At 42.3% G+C, this 12,533-nt stretch overlaps 1 long non-coding RNA gene across 3 annotated transcripts in view, besides 2 other annotated features; it reads right to left on the reverse strand.

Moving 5' to 3' along the window:
- The window catches only part of LOC105377700 (uncharacterized), a 348,217-nt gene that overhangs the window by 235,231 nt on the left and 100,453 nt on the right, over positions 1 to 12,533 (reverse strand). The window lies entirely within an intron of this gene.
- Positions 5,537 to 6,514: an enhancer, noted in NCBI's record as "OCT4-NANOG-H3K27ac-H3K4me1 hESC enhancer chr5:162756879-162757856 (GRCh37/hg19 assembly coordinates)". NCBI's record gives its function as "activates a minimal SCP1, AML or CMV promoter by ChIP-STARR-seq in primed H9 embryonic stem cells {active_cell/tissue: H9 hESC(primed)}" and the evidence as "EXISTENCE:reporter gene assay evidence [ECO:0000049][PMID:30033119]".
- Positions 6,515 to 7,492: an enhancer, noted in NCBI's record as "OCT4-NANOG-H3K27ac-H3K4me1 hESC enhancer chr5:162757857-162758834 (GRCh37/hg19 assembly coordinates)". NCBI's record gives its function as "activates a minimal SCP1, AML or CMV promoter by ChIP-STARR-seq in primed H9 embryonic stem cells {active_cell/tissue: H9 hESC(primed)}" and the evidence as "EXISTENCE:reporter gene assay evidence [ECO:0000049][PMID:30033119]".

Here is a 12,533-nt window from a genome sequence, read left to right on the forward strand (position 1 = left end):
GAATTTAGCTCTTTTCCCTATAGGCAAAACTTGCAAAACTTTCAGTAACCCCTGGAAAGCCTACAATTCCCATCACATACAAAATTCCCTTCCCACCTACCTCCAAACCCCAGTAAACTCTATTTCTCACTCCAGGAGGAATTGATTTTCATTGGTATTCATTTGAAGTAGGGAAGGTCATGATTTAGAACATTGAAAATGTGTTGTCTAAAGAGCATAGTTTGTATCTTGCTTCAGAGAGATCTTTAAAGATGCCTTGGCTTAGCTGACTTTTCTTACCCTCCTGGTCCAAGAAACATCCTCCAGGGAGAAAGTCAATTTCAAATCTGCACACTGCAGAGGCTATGGGGCAGTCAATTGCAGAATGCAGATCAGCCTGTGTCTTCTCTTTTGAGATAAACAGAATCTGGGAAGAGTGTTGAAGGAAAAGTTTTTGAGCAATTCTCATAGCAAGGGTGTCAGGTTTTAGGGAGATTTCTTTATTGTGTGGCAAATACAGAATTTACTAACTTGCCTGCACCATTCTATTATGCAACCAGGAAACAAGGCTCCATGCGAGTCTAAAAAACCAGCATGTTTCCATTTGAAAGCCAGCCTGACTGTAGCCTAGATCCCTACTAACAGAATGTACTTTTTAGTTCCCAGGTGCTCCCCAAGCTTTGAATGTGATATGTAAACCTTCTCAATTAGTCTATTCATTAAACAGTTTTTTATTGCAAAAGTGTGTCCGTGACAGGAGGTATGTTTTTTAAATGGTGTGTATGGAGAAATTAATTATTCTGCAGTTTCCTGAGAAAGAATGCAGTAGAATCTGGACGTGTTTAAAGCATACTTAATTACTCAGACACAGATATTATCAAAGCACACAATGGCTCCATATATCCCCTCCTAACATCTCAAAAAGCATCAACTCTAACTTTCCATTTTATAATGTAAATTTTTTTACATTTTACTTATTTATTTATTTATTTATTTTTATTTTTATTTTTTTTGAGAAGAGTCTCACTCTGTCACCCAGGCTGGAGTGCAGTGGCGCTATCTCAGCTCACTGCAACCCCTGCCTCCCAGGTTCAAGTGATTCTCCTGCCTCGGCCTCCCCAGTAGCTGGGATTACTAATTTTTGTATTTTTAGTAGAGATAGGGTTTCGCCATGTTGGCCAGGCTGATCTTGAACTCCTGACCTCAGGTGATCCACCCACCTCAGCCTCCCAAAGTGCTGGGATTACAGGTATGAGCCACCGTGCCCGGCCCTACAATATAAATATTTTTATATAAAATTGTCTGAAGATAATAAAGACTATACTCGAGGGAGCAAATGTTAGGCCAACCTTTGCTGTCACTAATGCTGGCCAGGACCATGAATATTCATGCAGAATACTTTTCTAAAAATCACATGGAGTGAATAGCACTTCTTTTTCCTTTCCCCAACATTTTCCCACTCTGACTAGAATAATTCAAAACTTTGAGCTGGGCATCAACAAGATTACAGACATTTGTATGTTTCTATTGCAATAAGTGGCCAAGTTTGAAGCTTACAGGACCTCCTTTCTAAGTAAAGGTGCTGGAGAAGCAAGAAGCTTTCCTGACCTGAGCTCCACTCAAGTGGTGAACAAATAAAGGTGATCCAAGAAGTGAAAGACCAAAAGCCATAGATCGAAGACACTAAAAGAAGAATAAACCTCTAGCCTTGGAAAAACAGTGCTATTTATTAAACACATGTACCAGGCATATTTGTTTTGCAAACATTAGTTTAATCTTCACAACTACATGAGGGTAGCATCATTATCATCCATCTTTCATAATTGAGGAAAGTGAGGCACAGTTAGTAAGTAGTAGAGCCAGGGTTTGCACCAGGCAGTCTTGACTCCAGAGACTGCATTCTTAGCCACTATGCAAGCTGTGTTACTCACGGTTCTCCAGAAACACAACCAATCGGTTATATACTGGTATATGAAATACATTTACTATGAGGGATTGGTGATTATGGATGATTATGATTATGTGATTATGGATTACATGACTATGGAGACTGAGAAATCCCATGATCTGCAGGCTGGAGGCCCAGGAAAGCCAGTGGTACAGTTTCAGTTCAAGCCCAAAATCCTGCAAGCCAGTAGAGGCAATGGCGTTAAGTCCTGGTCCAAGTCCAAAGGCTTGAGAACCAGGTGTGCTAATGTCCAAGGGCAGGAAAATAGGGAGGGCCCAGCTAAGCATTCACCTTTCCTCTGCCTTTTTGTTCTTTTCGGCTCCTCAACAGGTCGAATGATACCCAACCACACTGGTGAGAGTAATCTTTACTCAGTCTAACGATTGAAATGCTAATCTCTTCCAGAAACACCCTCACAGACACACCCAGAAATAATGTTTTGCAAACTATCTGGGCATCACTTAGCCCAGCCAAGTTGAAACATAAAATGAACTTTCACTCAAGCTCATCTCTTTCTATTACTTTCTAGACTCTAGGCCCCATGAGATCAAAGACTGTATCCATTTTCTTCATTTGTGTGTCTCCAAAATCCTGGAACACTGTCTGGCAAATATTAGGTGCCCAATGAATGTTTCATTATTTAATTATATAAGTATATGATGAAAACATGAATAAATGGAATTCCCAATCTAGCTTTCCCCCCTTGATCTTCAAATATATTGGGTATAGAAAACAGGCCATTCTTAGGTGCATGAAAGGCACTATCTAGTGAAAAATCCCTGCCCTAGCTGTTTTTCTAATGTGGACCCAGAGAATGGACATATACAATAGAAATACCCTCCTCACCCCACCCTCATGGACATTTTTTTCTGTTTTATATATAACCCTGACTAGCCTCTACTGTGTAATTTCCTGACACCATTTTTTTGTAGCATTTAACTAAACTGAATTTTAGGGCAATGAAAAGATAACAATTTTGCCTCTTCACATTTATCCATTGTCTCTCAGTGTGAGATCCATGGAAATTCTGCTTCAGAACCAACTGAGATGCCTGCTGGAGATGGGATTTCAGGATCCTATTTCAGACCTTCTGCATCAGAATCTCAGAGGTTGGGGCCCAGGAATATGAATGTTTAACCAGCTTTCTTTCTCTTTTTTCTTTTTTTCAGACAAAGTCTCACAATGTCACCCAAGCTGGAGTGCAGTGGCATGATCACAGCTCACGGCAGCCTCAATCTCCCAAGTTCAAGCAATCCTCCCACTGCAGCCTCCCAAGTAGCTGGGACTAAAGGCATGCAGGCACCACCATGCTCAGTGAAGTTTTTTTAATTTTTTTTTAGAGATGAGGTGTCATTATGTTGCCCAGGCTGGTCTCGAACTCCTGAACTCAAGCAATCCTCTTACTTCAGCCTCCCAAAGCATTAAGATTACAGGCATGAGCCAATGCGCCCAGCCTTAACCAGCTTTCTATGTGATTATTATACAGACTTGTTTTTGGCAAACACAAGAAGAGATTATCAAATCTCTTCCTCCACAAAAAAGGTTATAAACTCCTTTTTTAAAAAGCCCCTAACACTGGGCACCTGTATTTCAGAGATTAGCCTGTTTCCCCTGATGCTGAACCTGTTTACCCTCTCCCAACGTCTGATGTCTCCAGTTTCTACCCTGCTGCCTCCCACTTGTTTTCAAATTCTGCCCAACTCCCTTAGGGTAATCCTTTGGCTGAACTGTGTGTCTGACTTGACTTCAGCTTCTCTCCTAGATGTTTGCTGTGTGGACTTCATTGGTGGTCCCTAAGCAGTACTGTCCCATACTATACCTGGCTTTGACTCATGGAACCACAGGCCTATCCAACTCCTGGCCCCCATTTCTAGGGTAAGAATTTTAACATCAGTGAACTAATCCATATCACTTGGGAAGCATCCTTTCTCCCAAATATTGCTATTCAAAAGAAAGATATCACAGGGCTTAAGAATACAGATTCTAAAGTCAGAATCTACATCTCAGCTTGACTGCTTAGTAGCTGTGACATTGAGCAAGTTATTTTTCTTCTCTGCTCCCAGTTTCTCCATTCACAATAGTATCTCCTTCATAGGATGGTTGTAAGGATCAAATACACACGTGTAGAGCACTGAAACAGTGTCTGGCCCACAGTAAATGCTCAATAGGTGTTAGTTGCTGCTGCTGCTGTTGCTATTATTTATGTGAAATATGCTTCCAGGAGCATCCAAGGACAGACTTAGAGTTGGGAAACAGATACCATGAATATGAACTCTAAGGGGAAATCAATGAAAAAAGAGTTCTGTCTCCCTGTCTTGCATGTGCTATGTGAATAAGGGCAGATTTATACACATAAAAATGATCTTCTTTTCTCCCAGTGATGTTAGCAGCAGAATTTTCTTCCTCTTTAACTCCTTATATACAAAAGCTACATCCTAAAGACTTCATATCCCCTTTAAGACGTGAAGGGGTCCAGAATAAGTTTCTATGGCATCAAAATTACTTTGAACTGAAGGCATTTGAGTTCCTGAAATCCTTCATCTGCCTAAAAGCAGATCTTCTCAAAAGAACTAAAAAGAACTTTATTGTCCATAAGTCCCCTCCCTGGAACCCTAATCTTCTCTTCTTGGAGAGATATGTCAGCACCACACCCAGACACTGTCAGAAGTTATTACATCTTCCTTTCTCTCTCTCTCTCTCTGTTGCTTACATACACACACACACACACACACACACACACACACACACACACACACACATCCACACACACACATATATTTTTAAATGCATGCAATATTCATAAACAAATGCGGCCCGGCACAGTGGCTCACGCCTGTAATCCTAGCACTTTGTGAGGCCAAGGTGGGCGGATCACTTGAGGTCAGTAGTTCTAAACCAGCCTGCCCAACATGGTAGAACCCTGTCTCTACTAAAAATACAAAAAAAAAAAATGCATAAGAACACAGCAAGAGTGCTGTCTCCTAGGAGGGAAAGGAAGATGGGGTGGGGAGAGAAAGACTTACCTTTTATGGATATCCTTTTGAATCTTTTTAATTTTGAACCATGTAGCCATTCACAAGGTATATAAATATTAAAGCAAATGTTTAATTCATAGTAATTCCCATAATAGAAACAATAAATATAATATTATAATATGTAAGAACACAATGAATATGTTTTGTACATTTAACATACATAAAGCAAGCAACTGCAATTCTGATGAGATTAAAGCAAAAATACTTCATTACTATGATAACTGAGAATTTCTTCAAAATCATACAGGAGGAGGAGAAATGGTAATTTAAAAAGCCATTGGTAATTGTTGAAGCTGGTGATGGGAACATAGGGTTCCTTGTACTTTCATAAAGTATATAAGGGTTCTGTCTACTTTTGAAAATAACTAAAATTTTCCATAAGAAAAAGGGTTTTTTTTAAGTTTCATTAAGAGTCTATAATTAAGTAGTCAGGTTATTTATAGGGCTCTAAAGTAGATCAAATTGATCCCAGGATATGAAGCTTGTGAGGGCAGAGTAAAGGGGAAAAAAGCACTTCATTATTATTTGGTACAAGAAGCAATGGCTTACAGGCAGCCACAGGATTTAGACTAGGCTGGAGGTGGAGGCCTCACTGAGACAGAAGGCAGGTAGCACTGTCAGAAGTAACCGTCTCACATCTTTCTCAACAAAGACCACCATTCCAGTAAAGTTATCAAGCTTCAGCAACAGTAAATAAGCCTTTTATTTTTAATTGGATCTTTCTCAGAAATTCCATGTTGATGTTCGCCTCCTGCATATTTTCAAAGACTAAGAAAAAGCTGTAGAATGATTTTCAATTTATCTCAACAATTTCATATCTTGAACTAATCTAGATATTCTAATATTGTAACTGCCCGACAGATTCTTCCTGCCTGCCACACAAAGACCATGACATTGCAGTAAAGAAAGAGTTTAACTGATGTGAGGTTGGCCACGCCATGCAGGGGAAAGAGTTATTACTCAAATTAGTCTCATGAAAGGCCCATAGGCTAGGGGATTTTCAAAGATAGTCTCAGGGAATGGGTGGGGTGGCTAGGCAATGGGCGCTTGCTACTGATTGGTTGGCAGTACAATCATCGGGGTGTGTGAAATGATTCTCCTGCACTGAATGGCTTCTGGGTGGGGCCACAGGAGAAGTTGGTAGGTCCAGATAGAGTCATCACCGGTGTCAGACATACAAAAAAATCTAAAAAGGTATCACAAAAGCTCACGCCTGTAATCCCAGCACTGTGGGAGGCCCAGGTGGGTGGATCACCTGAGGTCAGGAGTTCGAGACCAGTCTGGCCAACATGGTAAAACCCCATCTCTACTACAAATACAAAAAATGTTCCAGGAGTTGTCATGGGCGCCTGTAATCTCAGCTACTCGGGAGGCTGAAGCAAGAGAATCGCTTGAACCCAGGAGGCGGAGGTCGCAGTGAGCCAAGATTGCACCATTGCACTCCAGCCTGGGCAACAAGAGTGAAACTCTGTCTCAAAAAAAAAAAAAAAAATGTATCTCACAAGGTCAATCTTAGGTTCCACAATAGTGATGTTATCTGCAGGAGTAATTGAGGAAGTTGCATATCCTGCGACCTCTGGAATAATTGCTGGCAGAATTCAGGCTCCTCTATTCTTCTAGGCTCCTGGCCTCTCATTAGCTTTTCAAAGGCAGTTGAGTTTTGGGGAAGGGCTATTATCATTTAAACTATAAACTAAATGTCTTCCAAAGTCAGCTTGGCTTAAGCCCAGTAATAATTAAGGCAGCTTGAAGGATAAGGACAAGAGGGAGGGTTAGTTAGATCAGATCTCTCCCACTGCCATAATTCTCTCACTGACATAATTTTTGCACAGGTGGTGTTAGGAATAACGCTCAAAATCCTAAGGAAATTGAACACTCGAACAAAGGATTCTTAGCAAAGCAATTTTACTTTTGCGCAGAGGGGTGCCTCCTTGGCCGGTTGCCATGAGAACACACCTGAACAAAGGGGTACAAGAGCCTTTATTCCCAACGCAAGTCCTGCCCTTGTACCCTTTCCCCATTGGCCGGGGGCGGGTCATACAATCTAAACTAATGCCAGTTGGCTAAACATTTGATGTTTTTAGATAGGGTGGGCACATAAAAGAAAGTGGAGGGAAAGGGGAAGGGGTATCTGTAATGAGCCAGAAAGTTACTCCTCTTTCCAAATAAGGAAAGGAATGTGAGCTGGTACTGATAACGCTTGGTACTGTCATGTGCCTGGGCATTTAACAAAGGCAAGAAGGAAAAAAGGAGAAAAATGGGGGATACTATGAATTAAAGAATAAAAGATTGATCAGATTATTTGAAGAGAAACCTCATCATATCCCACAGTGGTTTCAAAAATTTTAAAGAATATGACATAAAAATACTATTTCTATTTTAAATTCAAGGTGCTCAAGAGTTCAACACATCCATTTCCTATGACCAACTCACTCAGTTTCTCATTATGTTGCAGTTGGATTTCTGAGATACCAGGATGAACCAGGTGAGCCTATGCAAAGCTTATTTGACACTGATACTTCCAGGACCCAGCACCTCTTATTAGCATAGTTGAAGCAACAGAGAGGACTTCAGATGTTGCCGCTAAGTTTTTAAAATTATCTTTCATTGCTTATTGCTCTCTAAATTGTGGTTCCTTTAAAAATATAGCATTTTCAGATATAGCATTTCCTCTGGAAAGAATTAGGCATATTCCACCATTTCATTCCCATGCAAAAAGTTAAAACCAAGTATAGGCCCAGTTAGAGAGGGGAGGTTAGATAAATGTGTATTGGATGTTTTGTTCTTCTGTTACTTCCCCCTTTTACGTGTTTAAGATGAAAGAGCACTGGCTTGGGTTCTGCAGACCTCATTTCAAGCCCTGGCTTCTGCGACTCCATATTTCTGTGCTTTGAAATGTTGAGTAATGAACTGGCTTTCTATTTCCTTATCAATAAAATGGGGATAAAAGATCTATCCCACTAACTTTATACAGGTCTTGGAAATAAAAATAAAAACTCTTGCAAAATGATCATGTGTTACATGCTGCCACATGCTGGTTCCATGCTGCTTAGGAGATACTTGGTGCCTCCTTCACCTTCTACACCTACTCCTTCTACACCTACTTCCTTCATACCTTTCTCCCCCATTCAGATTTTCCTCACTTTTCTCACCTCTCAAACCACTAAGCACAGACCAGCCTCCATCTTCAGGCTATGCTAAAACTGTCCAGGCCAAGGTCACCAGTGACTTCTATGCTGTATCAATCTACTGGACATTTTCAGTCATTATCTTTTTAGACATCTCAACATAACTGACCTCTTTCATTAAAGTCTCTTCATTACGGTCTGCTCTTCATGCTCCCTGTTTTTTTTACCAGCCTTTCTGGCAGCTTCTTCTCAACCCTCTTTGCTGGCTTCTCTGTCTGTTAATTTATATGTTTTTAAGTTTCCCAAATGTTCTGTTTAAAAAAGAAATTAGTAGAGATATAAAGTTGTTTTTTTATGTAACCTTCCTTCATGCAGAAGAAGGTTCCTTTTTTTGTTTAACAGAGAAAATTCACAAGTATTTTATACTTTTTAAAAAAACAAAAATGTACATTTAAATATTACTTCCAAGACAACACATTATTATGCAAAACTAATGAGATTTGCAGAGATTCTAGAGGTTAAAGATTATTTTCATAGGACTTAACAATATGTGAAGTCCTAGTGTGTCTTACAAGAAGTTATGATGTAAAATATAATCTGCTTTTCTGTAGCTACAAGAAAAGGTGGGAAATTTTCTACTTGTGTCACTAACATTTCTTGCACCAGCAATTACAGGCACCTATGGGTTGAAGACTAATGCTGGAATTCTGTCAGTTAGCTCAATAAACAAAAGAAGCATGACTAAAAACGTGGAACTTAAAATGTGAGGGATAGGGGAGAAGAGAACGGAATAAAATTTTTAACAAATGAAATTTTTTTGTTTTTTTTTTTTTGAGACGGAGTCTTGCTTTGTCACCCAGGCTGGAGTGCAGTGGCGGGATCTCGGCTTACTGCAAGTTCCGCCTCCTGGGTTCATGCTATTCTCCTGCCTTAGCCTTCCAAGTAGCTGGGACTACAGGCGCCCGCCACCACGCCTGGCTAACTTTTTTGTATTTTTAGTAGAGACGGGGTTTCACCGTGTTAGCCAGGATGGTCTCGATCTGCTGACCTCGTGATCCACCCGCCTTGGCCTCCCAAAAGTGCTGGGATTACAGGCGTGAGCCACCACGCCCAGCCAACAAATAAAATGTTATCATTCAATGCATTGTATTTCTTTGGGCCAGATCTCTAAATATTTCAGTCACTCTGTGCTCAGTACCAGACCCCCTACTACTGTTCTTTCTCTGTACCCCTTCTCAGATGATTCCATCAATTCCCGTGGCCTTAATTAACTTTTCTTTGCAACTTACTTCCAGATTACACCTGTAACCTAACTTTTCTGGACTTCTGACAGGTATTCTACAGCTGATTGCTTGGCATCTCCTATTAGAAGACTCACAAGCACCTCAAAATTACTATATCCGACACAGAACTCTTTAATTTTTGTGCCCTATCTCCTTTCTCTTTCCTTGTCATTGACATCTAACTATGGCACCCTCATTCATCTACCAAGTTTTTCAAAGCAGAAATCTAAGAGTCACCTTTGATTTTTCTCTTTCCTTCATGTTCCTCCAAATTTACCCACTTCAAGTTTTATCGATTATCCTTCTAACTTATGTCTTCCTTAGATCATCTTTTCTTCAGCTCTGCAGCCATTACCCAAGTCCAGGCCATCATTGTCTCTTGCATGGGCTATGGCAATAACCTTCAAACTGGCCTCTTCCTTTTGCCCTTGCCCTCATTCAATTCCTTTTTCCTATATCAGTCAACATGATCTCTTTTTTTTTTTTTTTTTTTTTTTTTTTTGAGACGGAGTCTCGCTCTGTCGCCCAGGCCGGACTGCGGACTGCAGTGGCGCAATCTCGGCTCACTGCAAGCTCCGCTTCCCGGGTTCACGCCATTCTCCTGTCTCAGCCTCCCGAGTAGCTGGGACTACCGGTGCATGCTACCACACTATCAGGCCTCTGAGCCCAAGCCGGCAGGTATACATCCAGATGGCCTGAGGCAACTGAAGAATCACAAAAGAAGTGAAAATGGCCGGTTTCTGCCTTAACTGATAACATTATCTCGTGAAATTCCTTCTCCTGGACAACGAGTATCAGAAGCTCCCCACTGAGCACCTTGTGACCCCCACCCCTGCCTGCCAGAGAACAACCCCTTTGACTGTAATTTTCCACTACCTACACAGATCCTATAAAACTGTGCCACCCCTATCTCCCTTCACTGACTCTCTTTTCGGACTCAGCCCGCCTGCACCCAGGTGATTAAAAAGCTTTATTGCTCACACAAAGCCTGTTTGGTGGTCCCTTCACACAGACGCATGTGACATTTGGTGCCATGACTTGGATCGGGGGACCTCCCTTGGGAGATCAATCCCCTGTCCTCCTGCTCTTTGCTCCATGAGAAAGATCCACCTACGACCTCAGATCCTCAGACCAACCAGCCCAAGGAACATCTCACCAATTTTAAATCGGGTAAGCGGCCTCTTTTTACTCTCTTCTCCAACCTCTCTCACTGTCCCTCAACCTCTTTCTCCTGAATTTCAGCACCACCCTTCAATATCTCCCTTCCCTTAATTTCAGTTCCTTTCCTTTTCTGGTAGAGACAGAGGAGACACATTTGATCCATGGACCCAAAACTCCGGCACCAGTCATGGACTCGGGAAGACAGTCTTCCCTTGGTGTTTAATCACTGCAGGGATGCCTGCCTGATGATTCACCCACATTTCAGAGGTGTCTGATCACTGCAGGGATGCCTGCTGTGATCCTTCACCTTGGTGGCAAGCACCACCTCCCCTGGGGGCAAGTACCCACCCCCTCCCGTGTCTCCACCCTCTCTTTTCTCTGGGCTTGCCTCTTCACTATAGGCAGCCTTCCACCCTCCATTCCTCCTTCTTCTCCCTTAGCCTGTGTTCTCAAGAACTTAAAACCTCTTCAACTCTCCTGACCCAAAATCTAAATGCCATATTTTCTTCTGCAATACCACTTGACCCCAATACAAATTCGAAAATGGTTTCAAATAGCCAGAAAATGGCACTTTCAGTTTCTCTATCCTTCAAGATCTAGATCATTCTGGTCGTAAAATGGGCAAATGCTCTGAGGTGCCTGATGTCCAGGCATTCTTTTACACATCGGTCCCTCCCTAGTCTCTGCTCCCAATGCAACTCATCCCAGATCTTTCTTCTTTCTCTCCTGTCTGTTCCTTCAGTCTCCACCCCAAGCTCTGAGTCCTTTGAATCCTCCTTTTCTACAGACCCATCTGACCTCTCCCATCCTCCCCAGGCTCCTTCTTGCCAGGCCGAGCCAGGTCCTAATTCTTCCTCAGCCTCCACTCCCCCACCCTATAATCCCTCTATCACTCCCTTCCTCACACCCAGTCCAGCTTACAGTTTCATTCCACAACTAGCCCTCCCCCACCTGCCCAACAATTTCCTCTTAAAGAGGTGGCTGGAGCTGAAGGCTTAATCAAGGTTAATGCTCCTTTTTCTTTATCCTACCTCTCCCAAATCAGTTAGTGTTTAGGCTCTTTTTCATCAAATATAAAAACCCAGTCCAGTTCATGGCCCATTTGGCAACAACCCTTAGATGCTTTACTGCCCTAGACCCAGAGAGGCCAGAAGGCCATCTTATTCTCAATATACATTTTATTACCCAATCTGCTCCTGACATTACAAAAAGCTCCAAAAATTAGATTCCAGCCCTCAAACCCCACAACAGGACTTAATTAACCTCACCTTGAAGGTGTACAATAATAGAGAAGAGTTGCAATTACTTGCCTGCCTCCGCTGTGAGACAAATCCCAGCCACATCTCCAGCATACAAGAACTTCAAAACGCCTAAACCACAGTGTCCAGGCATTCCTCCAGGACCTCCTCCCCCAGGATCTTGCCTCAAGTGCGGGAAATCTGGCCACTGGGCCAAGGAATGCCCGCAGCCTGGGATTCCTCCTAAGCCATGTCCCATCTGTGCAGGACCCCACTGGAAATCAGACTGTCCAGCTCGCCCAGCAGCCACTCCCAGAGCCCCTGGAACTCTGGCCCAAAGCTCTCTGATTGACTCCTTCCCAGATCTTCTTAACTTAGCAGCTGAAAACTGACACTGGCCAATCGCCTTGGAAGCCTCCTGGACCATCGCAGATGCTTTGGGTAACTCTTACAGTGAAGGGTAAGTCCGTCCTCTTCTTAATCAATATGGAGGCTGCCCACTCCACATTACCTTCTTTTCAAGGGCCTGTTTCCCTTGCCTCCATAACTATTGTGGGTATTGATGGCCAGGCTTCTAAACCTCTTAATACTCCCCCACTCTGGGGCCAACTTGGACAACATTCTTTTATGCAGTCTGTTATAGTTATCCCCACCTGCCCAGTTCCCTTATTAGGCCAATACATTTTAACCAAATTATCTGCTTCTCTGACCATTCCTGGACTACAGCCACATCTCATTGCCACCTTTCTTCCCAACCCAAA

This window comes from Homo sapiens, chromosome 5 (assembly GCF_000001405.40).
Source record: "Homo sapiens chromosome 5, GRCh38.p14 Primary Assembly".
In the NCBI taxonomy this organism is placed as follows: Eukaryota; Metazoa; Chordata; class Mammalia; order Primates; family Hominidae; genus Homo; species Homo sapiens.